Source organism: Homo sapiens, chromosome 20 (assembly GCF_000001405.40).
Source record: "Homo sapiens chromosome 20, GRCh38.p14 Primary Assembly".
NCBI classification, from domain to species: Eukaryota; Metazoa; Chordata; class Mammalia; order Primates; family Hominidae; genus Homo; species Homo sapiens.
Genome location: NC_000020.11, coordinates 39098797 through 39116161, shown reverse-complemented (window position 1 = coordinate 39116161; position 17365 = coordinate 39098797). Strand labels below are relative to the sequence as shown.

General features: G+C 48.6%; 3 annotated features.

The window, feature by feature from the left end:
* Positions 3451-3952: an enhancer, noted in NCBI's record as "H3K4me1 hESC enhancer chr20:37740853-37741354 (GRCh37/hg19 assembly coordinates)". NCBI's record gives its function as "activates a minimal SCP1, AML or CMV promoter by ChIP-STARR-seq in primed H9 embryonic stem cells {active_cell/tissue: H9 hESC(primed)}" and the evidence as "EXISTENCE:reporter gene assay evidence [ECO:0000049][PMID:30033119]".
* Positions 5977-6971: an enhancer, noted in NCBI's record as "H3K4me1 hESC enhancer chr20:37737834-37738828 (GRCh37/hg19 assembly coordinates)". NCBI's record gives its function as "activates a minimal SCP1, AML or CMV promoter by ChIP-STARR-seq in naive H9 embryonic stem cells {active_cell/tissue: H9 hESC(naive)}" and the evidence as "EXISTENCE:reporter gene assay evidence [ECO:0000049][PMID:30033119]".
* Positions 7449-8648: an enhancer, noted in NCBI's record as "BRD4-independent group 4 enhancer chr20:37736157-37737356 (GRCh37/hg19 assembly coordinates)". NCBI's record gives its function as "activates an origin of replication core promoter dependent on BRD2, P300/CBP, MED14 and CDK7 cofactors, and independent of BRD4, by STARR-seq in HCT116 cells {active_cell/tissue: HCT116}" and the evidence as "EXISTENCE:reporter gene assay evidence [ECO:0000049][PMID:35650434]".

The window sequence follows — 17365 nt, the reverse complement described above, 5'->3', positions numbered from 1 at the left end:
GCCAGGGTGGGAGTGAGATTTGCTTCAGAGAAGCAGATGAGGATGCTTGCTGGGCAAACATACACAGTGACTACAGTCCATAATGGATGCTATTATATTAGTGAGGGTCATTTAGGAACATCATCCCCCATGCTAAGGAAGGGCCGTATACCTATCCTCAGTACAGCAGAAAGGTAAAGAGCTCAAGCCATGGAGAATATTAGGCATCACGACTAGCAGTGTGAATTTGGACGAGACTTTCACCTTTCAAAGCTTTCGTTTCCCCATTTACAAATTGAACTATTACATGGCTGATGCAAAGGTGAAAGATGAGAATGTTTATAAATTGTTTCCCACTGTGTCTTGTACCTTACAAGCATCAAAAAATAAATTCCTAACAATAGCAGTAATAAAAATGACTATGAATATTGCCTACAACCTGTTTTCTTTGCTGTCTGTCCCATGGGACACCAGGAGGCAGATCTCTATGGCTTTCATTCATTCTTTCAAGCCCCATCTGAGCACTTCTGTATGCAGCCAAACCCCAGAGTGTAGCTGGGTGTTGGTTTTCACATGGTTAGTACCTGGGCCAGAACCAGAGTGAGGCCAGTGAGGGGCCTACAGTATAAAATTTCAGGAGGCTTCACTCTCAAGGCCGTGTAAGTGCAGTTCCAAGCACTTGCTGGCCTCACCCTAGTTCCAGCCTAGCCTACTGGGTTAGAATCATTTGGGGCTCTCGTTAAAAGTACATTCTTGGGTGAAATCCAGATCTAGGAAATCTGAATGTTCATAGGTGGGCCTGGGACTTTGAGAAGGTCTCATTCCCAGGGATTCTTCTGTTGTCCATGCTGGGCTGGCGACTAGCTTTTAAGGACAGGGCTGTCCAGTGTACTAATGCAGTGGTTTTCAAAGCACGTCTACAAAGTAAGAGGATTTCTGCAGAAACGCCTCTGGGTACCATGGCAGGGAGTGCTTAGGGGGCAAGTGAGAGGCACCCTGCACTGACCACTTCAACTGTGTTTAAACTTCATATATACTACACTTTCACTGAAATAAGATGTCACTTGATAAAACAGTTCCATTGATTTAAAAGAAAGTTTGAAAACTTCTGGGCTAGAAGCGTTAGAGAACTTGAGGTGCCTTTTTTTTTTTTTAAATGAGATGGAGTCTTGCTCTGTTGCCCAGGCTGGAGTGCAGTGGCTTGATCACAGTTCACTACAATCTCTGCTTCCTGGGTTCAAGCAATTCTCCTGCCTCAGCCTCCTGAGTAGCTGGGATTGCAGGTGTGTGCCACCACACCCAGCTAATTTTTGTATTTTTAGTAGAGATGGGGTTTCACCATGTTGGCCAGGATGGTCTCCATCTCCTGACCTCGTGATCCACCCACCTCAGCCTCCCAAAGTGTTGGGATTACAGGCGTGAGCCACCACATCCAGCCGAGAGGCTCTTTAATATGCAAATGGCTGGCCTCTTCAAGCTGTTCCCTCACTCACCTGGACTCTCCTCTTCACTCTCACCTTTCTTTCTCTCCTTTACCCCTGGATAAACCCTGACTGGGATCTGGAGGGCTGCCCCTGCCCAGAAAGAACAAGGTGGAAGGAGAGGGGTAGCTGAGCCTCATGGCATCCATGCCAGCCCCCATGTGGCTAGAGCCAGATCCCCGCACGCTACCCTGCAGGACTGACCCCTGAGGCTGCCAGAGCTCAGCCTCCCCACTGCTGGCCTCACTCAAAGTTCTTTTCTGGGCTGGGTTGGGAGTTAGGGCAGGGAGAAATCTCAATTTGTTGCACCTTTACCTTCCCCTCCCACCCCAGAAAATCTAGGTCTGCCTGTTCCCATGGGGAGTTCTGCTTCCACCAACGCACTGAGTACAACAGGAGGACAAATTCTGGGGACCGGGGGGGTTCCATTCTGGGTCTGATGGGGCCCAATTCAGCCAGGGTCCTCCTGCGGGTCCCCTCTCCTCTGACTTAAAAAGCCAGGATGCTAACTCAACTTCACCATTCCACAATGTATACATATCATGTTGTACATGATAAATATATATAATTTTATCAATTTAAAAAAAATTAAGCTCAGGTTTATATGTGATTTTATAAATACACATAGTTGTCTCATATAATTAGAAAATTATCCAATTTTTTTGAATAAAAATATATTAAGATATGTTATTTCAATGCTTCTAGACTGTGACTAGGAAAATCATATATTCTTTCAAGCACACCATTCCTGATTTCAATGCTGCTTAATTGAAGCAGCATTAATGGAGAACTTAATTTCATTTCCACAACTCAGTTTAGCTGCCTTGGAGATAAATATCTAAGGGTTTTATGATGGAGGTTAGAGTTATTGTTGTGTTGTTTTGTTTTCTAGAAAATTAATGCCCAAAAAAGCAAAGAATCGCAGAGAAATGGCCCCTTCATGAATGATCAATGAGGAATGGATCAGGAGTTCCAGGCTGTCACAGGGATCCAGGCTGCAAACTCCAAAAAAGGAAACATCAGCTTTAGAAGTGCTCAGAAGCCACCCCGTAACCCCTGCCGGCCACAGCTTCTAACACTTAGATGGAATCCTTTTAGATACTAAAACAAAAATAGATTATATCTCAGAAAGAGACACGAAAATGATTTGACACTATGTGTATAATCTAATTCAAACCATAGACCCCCTAATCGACATTTAATTGATGCAATAATGTTTGTTCATGACGGTAAATAAACAAAATATATAAACAGAAACATCTTCTTTGATGTTTAATGACTGCTTAGCAGCTATTTGGGTCAGAGCTACTGAGTCCTAATAAACAAATGCTTAATAATCAATTGAAATGCATTTCTCTGGTTATTGCCTTATTAAATCAGATCCAACTTCAGCTGAGGAATATTCCTTCCAACAGGAAGAAAATGGTTGGAAATGAAAAAGGTTGTGATGGCAAGTCCCTGTGTACCCTGCAAGTGAAATGGACGAGTTTCTCTCTCCATCCCTGCAATCACCTGGAGCCCATGAGAAAGCCACACTCCAGCCTGCAGGTACCCTGGGTCTTGTTGTGCTAAAACAAAGTGTCTCCTTTTCAGGTTTGACTGTCATTATAAATCCCCTTCTATTACCTCCCCTATGGGGTAATCCATGTAAACAAAACAACCCATGTAAAAAAAAGCAGTGTCTGACATGTTCCATAAATCCTCAAAAAGATGGTTATTTGCTACTGTCATTATTATTGTTATAACATTATTATTGTTATAACATTATTATTATAATCCTAACTTGCCACTGCTTTCTGAGCATGCGTGAAACTCTGGTCACCTGAGTTTTTGTTTGTTTTTCATAAAAGCCAGCCTTGTTTTTCAGTGCCCGAGTCAAGCCACATCCTGCTGTCCCAAACAGCAGCTCCATCAGCTCCAAGCCATGTCCGGGAAGGGCCACCACTGGCCATGGCCAAGTCTGCAGTCCGGGCCACCTCCAGCTGGAACTCTGAGCTCTTGCTCCTCAGGTGTCTGGAAGTTCACGCCAGCCTTTTCTGTGTCACCTCCAGTCCTCATGCTTCCAGGAAGTGAGCCTTGTGTTTGGGGCCCTGGAATGGACATCCAGGCTCTGTTTCTCACTCCTAAAGATTCCCCAGAGCCCAGCTCCTGGTGGCTGAGCCCATCAGTAACTCCACGAAGTCCCTTCCTACAGCTGCTCAGCCACTAGCCCCCTGGCAAGCCCCTCACTTCTCTTTCTGCTCCCCTCCTGCTCTTCTCCCCACTCCACTCCTCTCTAACGCAAGCCCCAGTGACTGGGATCTCTCTACCCAGGGTGAGCAGGAAACCCAGAAGTTGGCTGCCCAGCTACAGAGATAAGGAAGAGGTGCGTGTGGAACATTTAAGGGAAAGAATAATCACCAGGGCGACCAGAGGCCCACTGAAGAGACTGGGCAGGTGCTTGACGGTCCCAGGGAGCCATCGTGTGGCCAGTCTACATAATGACAAAAGGGTCCCTCTCCAGTGACCATCCGGTCTGGGCTCCTAAAGTCCCTATCCAGGACCCTTCTTTAGACCTCAGAAGTCCCACGGTTCACCTTCTTGGAAGGATGGGAAGAGAGGGAGAACAGAGAGGAGAGACTGACAGTAGAGGCCAGAGCAAGGAGAAGGAAAGGGTGCCCAGGGCAGTCTGTGAGGCTTCTTAGACAAAAGCTGTTCAGACAAGACCAAGAGCTCCTGAAAGAAAGGGGGTCAAGGGAAGAAAAGTCCCAGAGGAACAGAAAAAGCACAGCTACAAGGATGGAAACCCAGGCAGCCTCCACTGGAAAGCTGGATTTCCAACACCTCAGTGCAGGGAACTGGAAAAGAGGGACAGAATCAGATTCGGGAGTAGGGTCAGAGAGTTCCTCCTCCTCCTTCCCTTCCCCTCCCTCCTTCCCTTCCTTCCCTTCCCCTCTTCCTCCCCCTGCCCCTCCTCCTCCTCCCCTTTTCCTCCTCCCTTTCCCCTCCTCCCGTTTTCTATCCTCCCACTCTTCCTCCCCCTCCTCTCCCTCCCCTCCCCCTTCCTCCTCCCCTTCCTCCTCCCCTTTCCCTCCTCCTCTCCTCTCTATCCTCCTCCTCCCCCCTCCTTCCTCCCCTCTCCCTCCTCCCTCTCCTCCTCTTCCTGCTCCCTCCAATGCACCCTCCTCCCTCGCTCTTCCTCCCCCTTCTTCCTCCTGCTCCACTGCCCATCCTCCTTTTTCCTGCACCAACCAGACACAGGCTAAGACAGTACAATTGGTGGGACCCTGAGAAGCCATAAAAATCAAAAGTGCATCCCCCATGGCCCCTCCAGCTCTGGAGAGTTATCCCTGTCATCCTGCCAGGTTTGTGCAACCTCATTTTACAGAGCAGGCACCTGATGTGTTAGTTTTATTCCAAGTGTATGTGCTGACTTTGGAGAGATTGTTATTAAACACTCGGGCTTGGGAATCAGGCTGCCTACATTTGTGTCTTCAATCTACCTGGCTGTGTGAACTTGGACAGGCTGCTCAACTTCTCTGAGCCACCATTTCCAGAACTGTAAAATTAAGATATAATTGTACCCGGCCCCCCAGGTTGACATGAGGGTAAAATGTGATAAGACACATAGTGCTAGATATTTTCAGATGCAAGAGCTAATTCTGTTCCCCAAACATCCCAGGGCATCATGAGTACTAACATACCCCATTTTACAGATGAGAAGCTGAGAGAGGCTGAAATGATTGGGCAGAGGTTATACTGACAGTGGCTCAAGCCTAGGCTTGTCCAATTCCAAATTTGCATAAGAATTCATTGACCATGTCCCCCTACTTTGTGCAAGCTCTTCCCTCTGCCTACAATGCCCCTTTCTTTTGACTCAGCCAGAGAAACTATCAGACCCAGGCCAGAGGTCTCCTGCTCTGTGAGGGCTTTCTCTACCCCTCCAGACCCAGCAAAGCTCCCAGGAGACCAGCCCAGATCTTCATTAGCATGTGGATCACGTGACAGGATCATCACCTGTCCACCTGCCTGGCTCCCACTAGGTGGAAGCTCCTGGGGGCCAGGGCTGAGGCTATTTCCCTGCAGCTGTGTCCAGCTTGGAGCATTGAGTGGCATGGTGCGAGCAGGGAGGAAGGAAGAGGAGAGAGGAAGAAGGGGAAGAGAAAGGAAAGAGACAAGAAAAGAGGAGGGAGGACAGGAGGGAGAGCACAGGGGAAGCAGGGATGCAAATGAGGAAAACAGGAAGGAAGGGAGGTGGGAGAGAAGGAAGAGGGGGAAAGGAGGAAGGGAGAGAATAGGAGAGAGGGAAAGGAAGAGAAGAGGAGAGAAGGAAAGGAAGGGGAGGAGGGGGAGTGCAGAAATGAACAAAAAAGGAAGGACCGAAGGGAAAAAGGACAGAGGGCAAAAAGGAAGGAAGAGAGGGAGAGAAAGGGGGAAGGAAGGAAGGGAGGGAGGGAGGGAGGGAGGGAGGAAAGGAAAAAAGGAATGGAAATAGGGAGGGGGAAAATGGGAGGAAACGAGGGAAGGAAGAAAGGAAAAAAAGGGAAAGAGGGAAAGAGGGAGGGAGGGAGGGAGGGAGACAGTGCCCTACTTCTCACAGTTACCTTAGTGGGGGGTCTCTCTTCCTGGCAGAGGAAGCAGGCGTGGGTACCTCAGTACCAGCCACCTGGCCTTCTCCCAACACTTCCTTTCGACCAACTCTCTCCTGCCCCCAAGGCTAGTGCCAGCGCCTGACTCTGATTCTCTCCGAGTCGGCATTTTTCTTCCCATGCTGGGGCACAGGCGCAGGCTCCGGGAGTTAACACACCTGCCACTCCTGTGCTGACACACAGCTTTTAAGAAAACGGGGAGACAGGAAGCGAGCCTAGACGCTGCTGGGGTGGGAACAGACCCTGGAGGCTCCCCCAGCTGGGGAGGGGGCTGCCGGGGTGGAACCGGCCCTGGAGGCTCCCCCAGCTGAGGAGGGGGCTGCTGGGGTGCGAACATACCCTGGAGGCTCCCGCAGCTGGGGAGGGGGCTGCTGGGGTGGGAACAGGCCCTGGAGCCTCCCCCAGCTGGGGAGGGGGCTGCTGGGGTGGGAACGGGCCCTGGAGGCTCCCCAAGCTGGGGAGGGGGACTTCTGGGTTGTTCTAACAGAGGACTCTGTGGGGGGGACTCCTCCCACTGGCCCCTCTACCCATGCCCCCACCTCACCCTCCTCCTCCCGCACATTGAACCGGGTGAAAAAATGTCTCCCCCACTGCAGGCGGGGCACTGGCTGGAACGCGCAGGAAGGAAGCCTCCAGCCCCCTCACCTGTACAAGATGTCAGGGCAGCCCTTCCTCTCATCACCTGCGAACAAGATGTCCAGAAACACTGCCAAGAAACAGCCACCAAAGTTCAGCAGCCCCAGAGCAATTTGACAAAATAAAATGCCCCTTTTCAGAACATCATATTAGCCTGCTGGCCCCTCAGTGGATCACTTATATGGGTCTTGTTTCTGCTAAAACACACTTGGTGTCACATCTTCCTTGAAGAGATGAGGGAGAGCTTAGTTCCAGAAGCTTTGGGGAAAGAAAAAGAGAAGGCACAAGTCCCCAACCAGCACCCCAAAGCCTGACCCTCACACCCCAGCCCAAACCACCAGGCACAAAGGTAACAAGAAACAATACTAGTATTCACCCGAGTGTTTAGCCACACCATGCGCTATTGAGCTAAGCATTTAAATCACCTCATCCTCTCAAAATTCCAGCAGGAAGCTGTTAGTTAGGGAGGACAATTTAGAGAAGTGAGTAACGTGCCCAAGGTCACACAGAGAGTAGGTGATGACTCAGGAGGTAAATCCAGCCCAGGCCTTCATTCTGAGTCTTCTTGCCTTTTTCTCTTTCCCTTTGGAAAAAAGTCCATTGGTGGGAATGCCAAAGTCGAGGGACAAGGGTTTGGCAGTAATTACGAAGGCTGTGGAGGAACTAGGTAAAAAGGAAACCAATTATCTCACATTAGGAAGAGAAAGGCAATTCCTGGCTGGAAGAGCTTTTCCTTTAGGGGTAGCCGATCCCCTCCCCAGTCCAGCCTGGCCAAAACTGGCAGCCCCATGACTCTCTGCCACCCTGGGCCTGATTGAAAGTAAGGGGTGGGCACAAAGCTAGCAAATAATTGTTTTTAGAACCCATGAAGTCAGGATGCATCATGAAATCAGAGCAGAGTGGAACCCACAGACTGGGAGTCAGGAGAGGCAGGCTTGGGGTGCCACATTCCAAAGGAAGCTGGGGTCAGGAGGTTGTAACACCCAAGCGAGTTGTCTTCCCGCTCTGCCCCAAGACTAGCATCCCAAGAATGAATGGCAGCCTTTGAGTTTCTGCAAGATCCGTAGCAGTGGGCCCCCAGGATGGGCAACTCTTTGTCCCTGGGACATGGAATCCTCAGCTGCTTTGGGCTGAGAGACAGATAGTGTCATTTAAATTGCACACACATTGCCTTGAAAGAGGTGTCATATGGACCCTGGAACAGAAGTAAATTGTATTTCACATATCATCTGTGATCTGTTAGTAATGACTGCCCGGAACAGGAAATATAAAGGGTCCAGGGAGCTGCCCCTGAGCTCCATAAGAACTTGCACAGAGATCAGTTAGTGATGTCTGCCAAGGATGAAGTAGAAGGGCTCACGTTTGCCATCCCTGCCCTCATCTGCTCTTGCGCATCATATCAGAAGGACGGAAGGAAAGAGATGTTTTGAAGAGACCGAGTAAGAGGTTATCTAAAGGCCAGCCACATCCACCCAGTGGTTGAAGGGTGACTTGTATGAGTCCCTGTGTCACAGTGTCACTGGCTTACCCAATAATAAATTCCTCTGCTGCTTAGTCAGAATCCATTTTTCCATTTTTCCCTGCCTGAAGCTAAATAAGAACTCTAACTTGCACACTTCTTCCTTCCTTCAGTCCTTCAAGACTTCATTAATACAAGGCTGTTGTACATAGGAGACTTATTAAACGTTTATGGGTAGGAAAACAATTATAGAACAAAGAACAACTTCAAATTTAATGCTGGACACGATACTTCCTAGGAGTATATTGGTCATTCCTGCCACAGGGAATTTCTCATTGTCCCCTCTTTCCATGAGCCATGACTGCTTACCATAGACTCAATCTCTCTGTCTCTCACTCGCTCTTGCTCTCTGTCTCCCTACCCCCGACCCACTCTCTGACATCTTCCTTCTACTCTTTTAACATGGAACACTTACCTTCTCTTTCTCACATTATTTCCTGGGAATCTCATAATTCTACCCAAGCTGAACAATGGAGTTATCTATTTCTCCTGCTCTCACCATCTAGACCTGCCAAGGTAAGGTTCACCTGTCTCAACCATGAGGAGCCATTAAAGTTGTTGCCCACTGCCAAAGAGCCTCCCACATTTGAGATGAAGGCAGCCCCTGCCCTAGAATGCGGAAGACCGACCATTTTATTTGTAAATAACTTCTTTTGTCTTCCTTCCTGCCACTCTAGCCTGTCACCTGGTAAGAAGATAATAAGGCATAATGATGATTATTGAGCAGGAAGAAGGATGGGCCCAGCTGTGACTGCTGTCCCAGAAGCTCCTCTCTCCACCATTCAGGGTGGTCCTGAACCTCAGCTGTGTGCTGCAACGTCCTGGGGTGCTTTCAACAATACAGATGCCCAGGCCCCATTCCCGGGGAATCTGATTTAATCAGTTGGGATAGGAGGCTGGCAGCCGCCCAAGTGGCTTGAATGTGAAGCCACAGCACAAAGCTTCTGGTCCATACTGTTGCTGTCACTCAAAGAGAGGCCTGGGGCAGAGATGACTGTGTGTTCACCAGCACCCAATTCCTCTACCTGGAGGGCATCCATGTAGATTCTGTTTCCCAGTAATTCAGTAACTGGATTACTTGGCCACACCCAAATGCAAGTCATAGACACATCTAAACCCAGTCCACAAAAACCTCCTGTGCAAAGCTCTACATGCTGTTTTCACTGCTCGCCAGATGGAAGGGAAGGACTCCAAGATCCTAAGAGATGGCAGAGCTAAAAGATGGCGGGTGCCTGGGTCCCTGCATCACCACAGAGAAAGTCACCTGCCAAACACCAAAGTGGACTTAATGTGAGAATTAGACTTCTAGGATATTAAGTGACTGAGATCTGGCGGGGGGTTCTGTTACAGGAAATAGAATTACCTTAACTAATGTTAAGGTAGCTTCCCTTCTGGAATATACTTTTGGAGACGGCCCAGAATCTCCTCAGCTCAGTGGGAGACATTTGGTAATTCCCTGGAAATGTTAAGAGCCCTCCTCTCTAGGCTCCCTCTAACACTCTGCTAACCCCTAACTCCTCACACTCGGTTCCACTGGTAGGGATTCAGAGACAGAGCACGAGGGTTCATCTGGATGCCTGCATCCACCTGACTGCAGCCTCATCTGGATGTCTTCTGAAGCTTCAGGCCCTCCTACCCATGACCCTCCAACCATAATGGGCTTCCTGTGGCTCCTTGGACATGCAATGCCCTCTTCTGTCCCAGGGCCTTGGCACTCACTGTTCCTTCTGCTTAGGACACTCTTACCTACCTCTTCTCATGCAATCACCTCATCCCTCAGATCTCAGCTCAAAGGTCACCTTCCAGAGAGGCCTCCCCTAATGCCTCTGTCTCAGTTGTCACCCCCACCCCTTGTCTCTATGTCAGCACTCTATTTGTTTTCTTCATAGCATTGGTCACAAATCTTAATCACACATTTATTCGTGTTCTTCCTCATAGTCTGTTTCTCCCAGTAGATTAGATGCTCCTTCGGGAGGGAGGGATCTTTTCTTCTTGTGATAAGCACAATGCCAGCACACAGTAAGGCGCTCAGTATTTATTACGGGCATGAACTCATGAATGCTCAAGTCAGACCAGGGATGCAGGCTCCCCAAAACTTGTTCCCAGTTCTGGAGCTCCTGATGGCATCACAAGACTGAGAGCTTACAGACCACAACTACCCTGCCACTAGAGGGAGCACCAAGCCTGGGGACCCCGGGGTGCACAGTCAAAGCTAGAGGCAGATCCAGGACCAGCACACTTCACATCTCTTGGTGGTGCAGTTCACATTGCTGACATGTGAAGGGGAACCCCAGGGGCTATTAGGGCATGGCCTTTGTAACTATATGTGACCACACTGGATAGGCCCTAGGTCTGCCTGGGGTCACGCAGGAAAAATAAGTATTCCCAGACAGATCATTATCATGCTGTACTCTGGAAACTTTGTTCATCTCTTGTCTTAAATAAATTCTTATGTGAAAACCAACACATAAAGGTAGAGACGTTTCAGCTGAAACGAAAGTCTGCAGTCTGCTGTGGTAGGCATCAGAATCCTTGAAGACAAGGCGAATACAGCATCACCCCCTGGACAAGGTCACTATGCCCCACGGACAGGGTGCCTGTGTCCCACAGACAGGACTCCTATGCCCCATGGACAGGGTGCCTGTGTCCCACGGACAGGGCTCCTATGCCCCATGGACAGAGTGCCTGTGTTCCATGGACAGGGCACCCATGCCTCATGGACAAGGCACATATGCCCCATGGCATTGACATCTTATTTCCCCAAAGGCGGAACTGAGTCTCTAGGGAGACACCCAGAAGAGATCACACCTGCCCTGGGCATAAGACAGGCGTGAGCTCCTTCTTGAACCATCCCAAGATGTTATAAACCCAGCTCTCTCCTTTCCTTCTCAAGCTGAGGTTTCCAGCCCCAGAGGGAAGAAGTGTGGACAGCTTTCAACATGTCTAAGTTGACTCTGCCCACCCTGCCCCCATAAGATCTCACAGGAGACAGGTAAGTATTCACAGGAAGCTACTGTGAGTAAATGTGAGCAATGTCCCACAGAGCAAATGAATATTGCTGTTCTTTACCCCCAAAATATGCCTCTTTACCTGTTTCTGTAAATTTTAGCATCCTTTCATGTGATCCAGGTAGGTGCTCTGTTATAGAAAGAATTTATAAATGACACATGGGTAGATATCTACTTACTTCCTCATACATTATGGATTCTTTGTCCACTGCTTTTAGACCAAATTGACTCATTTTTATCCCTTCCCCATTTTCCATCTCGATTTCTATAATCTGCTCTCCTCTAAGCCATCTCTCATCTGGGCTTGGTGACATGATCATACACTCTGTAATTCTGCTCCCTAAGAAGTCCCCCAAATCATGGATCTGCCCTTTCTCTAACTACCCCCACCCCCCGAACCCCTACCTCCTCTGCTTGTGACCTGCTGGCTCTAAACCTTGGAGCCTGTTACCTAAGACCAAATCCAGCCCTCCTACATCACATGGCCTTGAAGAGCTTGACATGGCCTTGAAGCACCTCCTCTCCCCCACACACAGATGGGAGGTAAATGTTCCACACAGCCTCTCTTCTTTACCCTGTCTCCATAAGGATGAAGTCCCAAGGCTCTAGAGTCAGATTCAGATTCTTTCTTTGCCATTTGATCATTGTACAACTTTTACCTAGTTTAAAGAATCTGACATCCAGCTTCCTTGCCTATAAAATGGGATACAGTGGGTTGAACAGTGACCCCTCAAAAAAAAGATATGTCCATGTCCCTGGAACCTGTGAATATTATCTTATTTTTGGAGAAAAGACCTTGGCAGATGAAATTAAGCTAAAGATATTGAGATGAGATCACCACAGACTACTTGAATAAGCTCTAAATCCAGAGACAAATGTCCTTATATAAGTCAGAAGAGGACATACACAAAGGAGAAGGCAGTGTGAAAAGGGAGACTGAAATTGAAGTGATGTGGCCACAAGCCAAGGAAGCCAAGGAATGTTGGCAGCCACCAGAAGCTGAAGAGGCAAGGAAGCATTCTTCCCTACAGCCTCCAGAGGGAGTGCAGCCCAGAGTTGATTTCAGACTTCTGGTCTCCAGAACTATAAGAGAATAAATTGCTGTTGTCTTACATCACCTAGTTTGTGGTAATTTGTTGCAGCGGCTTCAGGAATATAATACATGGGGTTAAGTCTTAAATAAGATAATCCATGGAGTACAGTACCTATTACCCAGTAGGAGCTCAACAAAGGTCAGACATCATCACCATCACCATTGCCATCATCAGCATTGCCACTGTCATCTCCAGCACCATCATTAACACCATCACCATCTCCATGATCATCACCATCAGCACCATCACCATCGCCATCTCCAGCACCATCATCACCACAGCCACCAACATCTTCATCGCCATAATTACCACCACCATTTCCATCTTCATCACCATCATCATCACCATGTCCACCTTCATCATCACCACCCCATCTTCATCATCATCGTCCTTACCATCATCACCTCCATCATCCTCATCCTCATCATCATCATCATCGTTTCTGCACACACTGAAAATTTCTTCCTCCAATCTATACATTTTATTTAGGGGCATTTGATATTTCTCTGTTGAATACTTTAGCAATTTCTCTTTTGCTCTAACATCTTCTCCACAATATAGATGATATTCACATTTGTGCACCATTGCTCCCTCTCCTTTCTTGGGAGAAGCTTAATTCTGAGACCATATCTTTCTCCCAGTTTTTACTATTAAACTATTCTTTCTTTTGTGAAATAGTAATAATAAAAGAAGACAGCTGTTTTATACATCATTACTTAGAAAAGATATGGCCTGCTCTTTACATAAGGGTATCTCCTCTGGGTATTTCATTTGTTTTATTTTACTTGCCTATGGAATGTAGAAAACTGGAAATCAAAGTTCTAGTGTCTTTTGATGCCCCCCATCCCACCCCGCCATTTCAGAGTATGGTACTTGAGTGTCACCAAGATATGGAGGGAACTTGGGAGCTTCAGGTGCAGGGCTAATATCTGCTTGGGATGCTCAGGGAAAGGAAACAACATATTTGAATGTAGACTTCAAGCCAGACAAGAAGTGAGTCAGTGGTGGAAGAAGTCCAGACCTGAGGTCTCCGTGCCTCAAACTGTTAATGAAGGGCCCAAGCTCCCAGGGAACCCCAGGCCAGCTCACCCAGCAGGTGACCCCCCATCCCTCCTCCTCAGGGCCTTGCTGCCTCCTGACATCACCCTCCTCTTCCTTCCCACAGGCAAGGGCTCAGCACTTCTTCCCTGCCTCCATCCCGCATACCCACCCTGGAGATCAGGGCTGGGATAAGTACACCGAAAAGCCCCATGCCGTGATAGGTATGTAATTATGTACTGAGCAACTTAGCAGGCAGGATCAGTTCACCTTCCCTTGGTGAGGGGTGCATCAAGTCTCAGTAGGGGAGGAAGAGACGGAGGGTACAGGATGCTGTGTGTCTCCTGCTAAAAACTCTGGCAAGAAGCCAGAGGGTCAACTGATCAGTCCCAGCCCATCCCAGGCCTGAAGGCAACAAGCAAATAACCACAGCACAGCACAATCCAGGAGTGACAAGGAGAGGTTTGGGCAACTGTCATCTGCTTCAGGATGCTCAGGGAAAAGAGGTGACATTTGAATCCAGGCCTCAAGGGATCTGGAGAAGCTGTCAGGGTGAGAAGGAAGCTTCAGGAAGGGGACAACCTGACCGATGGCCTGGAGGCACAAAAAGGCATGTGAAGCTGGAGTCTGGCTGTTGAGCAGGCTGGAGGGATGGCTGCCAGGGAAGGAGTCACCCTTTTCCTGATTTGAGGGCTAGGTGCCTCTGGTCCCCACCCGAATGATGCATGGAGAAACGGGAGACTATGAAATGGGCAGTGACACAAAAAGGAGTTAAATGACTTATCCAATACTATAATCAAAACCAGAATTTGAACCCAGAGACTGGGATTCCACTCTTAACCCCTAAACCTCATACTAGTTAGAGACAGAGGTGATTCTAGACCACGAGCCACAGTGCTACAGTGGGCTCAGCCCAGGGAGTCATGAAGGTACGGAGAAGTCCCTGTGCTCCTCAGATTTCTGTTTCATAATGCTGCATAACAAACAGCCCCAAGTGGCTCAACGGTATACAATACTCGTGGGTCTGCAGTCAGCAGGACTGGCTTTGCTCCTGACTGCAGGTCACTTTCAGGTATGTTCCATGGGGCTCACACTCTGGGACCAGTGACTAATTGGAGGATCTTCTTTTCATGGTGAATGGGAAAAGCCCAGGAGAGTTGAGCTGAATAAAACAATTTCCACAATCCACCCCAACCCCACCCCTAGTGCCCAAGCCCCCTTTTCCTACTCCTGGGTGGTCTGCTCAGATCCTTTCTCTTGGCCACCCAAATTCCTCCTAAATATGCTCAGGAAAGATGCCCTATGCCCTCTGTCCAGATCATTCCTGACATCCCTCCCAGGGACCCCTGCTCTTCTTACTGAACCAAAGTCCTGCCCCGAAGGCAACCTCAGGAGAAAGCAATGCCCAATAGGCTGATTCTGCTCAATAAAAAATCCCTGGGTCCAAGTGACGGAAATGGAAAAGCAGTTTTTATCATTTCCACAACACTCAAGGAAGTCTTAAACAAGCCCGAGCTCCATAGAGAGGGTGGCCCCCACCCACGTATCCTGACCCTAGTTCCTAAGCCCCAGGTGTCAGTCTCTCCCAGAATTAGGGCTCCAGGACAGGGGAGGGGAGGCTGAGAGCTGAAGAATACACTAAAGAATATATCAAGCAGGAAAACTTCTTGATTTGGGTACAATTGGAGGAGGGGAGGGAGGAGAAAGGGACCTGCTGGCTTCCCAGGTTCTTAATTTGAGGCTCCAAAAGGAAGAAATAATAACAATAACCATCCCTGCTGCAGCCACAGCACTTCCTGCCCGTTAAGGCATCCGAGAAAGTGCTGACGGGGACGGCTGACAAGCGTGTGCATTGTAATTCACACCATAACAGCATCTCCAGGGCTCATGGATTTCTCATTGAAAAATTATGTGATGTCTTTTTGGAAATCCAATACTGAGTTATTGATATCGTGAAGGCAGCAGGCTCACCACTTGCAGCCTATTAGCTTTATACTTTCTGAAGGACTTTTTTTTTCCCCTCTAATTTTCAACTTGGTTTTCCCTTTTCAGTTTAAATTGGATCATTGGGCTTGAGTGAGTGCCTGTGAGTGTATACTGGGGGAGGGGCTGTTCTGTATACCTGGGGGCAGGCGTTCTTAGAAGTGTGTCAAGATTGTGTGTGTGTGTGTGTGTGTGTGTGTTTCTGCAGGAGTTAAATATCTGGGTATACAAGCCTCACTATATGCTTGTGTGTGTGGTAGGAGGGGGGACTTTCAACTCTGCATATTTGTGGTCATGTCCAAGTGCAAATATGTGTAGTGTGTGCATGTGTGTATACCTTTATGTCAGAGTAGCCATGTGTATATTTGTATATGAGGTGTATGCATAGGTATGTGCATAGTATACATGGAGGTATGAATGTGGGTACATGGATAGGAGTATTTTTATATCTGAGTAGCCATGGGAACGTGGGTATGTCCATATATGTCTGTCCGCATATCTATATGGATCTCTGCATTTTATATATGCATGTTCATCTATGTATACCTATGTCTTTGTATTTCCATGTGTCTTTGGGTCTGTACATGTGTACCTGTGAGAAGCAGAATTGCTATATTGTGGTTCTAGGGTCACACAACTTGAGGACCAATACTAGTTTTGCCTCTTGCCAGCTGTGTGACTTCAGCCAGTTTTTTATAACCTCTCGGGAGCTCAATTTCTCATCTGCAAAGTGAGGATCATTGTAGCCTTACCAAGTACAGTTGTTGAGAAGATAATGTGAGCACATGTGTATAAAGCATGCAGCACAGAGCCCAGTGGGTGCAAGATTCCCTTGAATCACCACATAGGTGTCCCTCAGCATGTGTGTCAGAGGCAGAGGACCTGTACTAAGACATGGAAACTTCTGCCACCAGCTCCTACCTGCTTGGGGGCTCCAGGATGTGATTTAAATCAGTTTCATACCTGGCACCTCCATGCAGGGCCTTTGCAAAAATGCCTCTGCAGAACTGACAACCTCAATTCACTTTGAACCACACCACTGGGTGTGAGACTTGTGCCTGGCCCAGGGAGGCACAAAAGTGCATCGGGCAGTGTGCAGCCATCCAGGGGCTCAGGCCAAGAAGGGCAGTGGGCAAAAAGTCTGGAATGAAACACACAGGGTCTGTCAAGTGCTCTGAGATTCCACGGAAGAAGCCCTCGATCCCCATCCCTGGCTCTTCAGCTGGGCATCAGGGGATGGAAAGGGTTTCCCTAGAAGTCCTGGGACCTAGGAAGAGGGAGAGGGTGTGCATGTTCCCTTTTGAAGCCCCCTCTGCTCCTTGGAAGTGAAGAGGCTCTGGTGTTACAGGGCTGGCAATCAGAATCCCAACTCTGGGAGTCTGGTGAGGATATATCCAAGTTTATGGATTTACATGGCTCAAACAGGGGAAGGGATCATCCTATGTAACTGATATTGGGCCAATCTAGTGCCCAGCCACCCCGAATCAAATCCAAGAAAATAAAATAAAGAGGTGTGACACTCAGCTGCTTGCACCCCAAGGGCACTAGAGCCTTCAAATTCCATGTGTGTTTTACACTACAGCACACCCCAATTCACATTGCAAGTGCTCGGGACCCACATACAGTTAGTGGCTACCAAATCGGACAGTGGAGTTCTAGACTCCAAACACTCAGAGGCCTATTTACCATGCCTGCTTGGCAACTTCTCTAGGCAGCCCCAAAATGCAAAAATCCCAGATCCGAGGCTGGTACAGCACCAGGGCAGGCACCCAAAGGGCAGAGCTCTCCTCCTAAAAAGGAAGGAAATAACTGACCTTCCCGCCAAGGTTCAGTGACAGGGCAGGGCCTGGGTCATGCTGGGGCCGGTGGCTGGGGTGGCAGAATGTCCACAGCTGCTGAGCCCACGTGCAGGGACTGCAGCCAGGCGCAGGTCTGCGAGGACAGGGGAGCAGAGGGAGGTGGAGGCAGGAGGAGGGAGCTGACTGACAGCCTGGCTGGG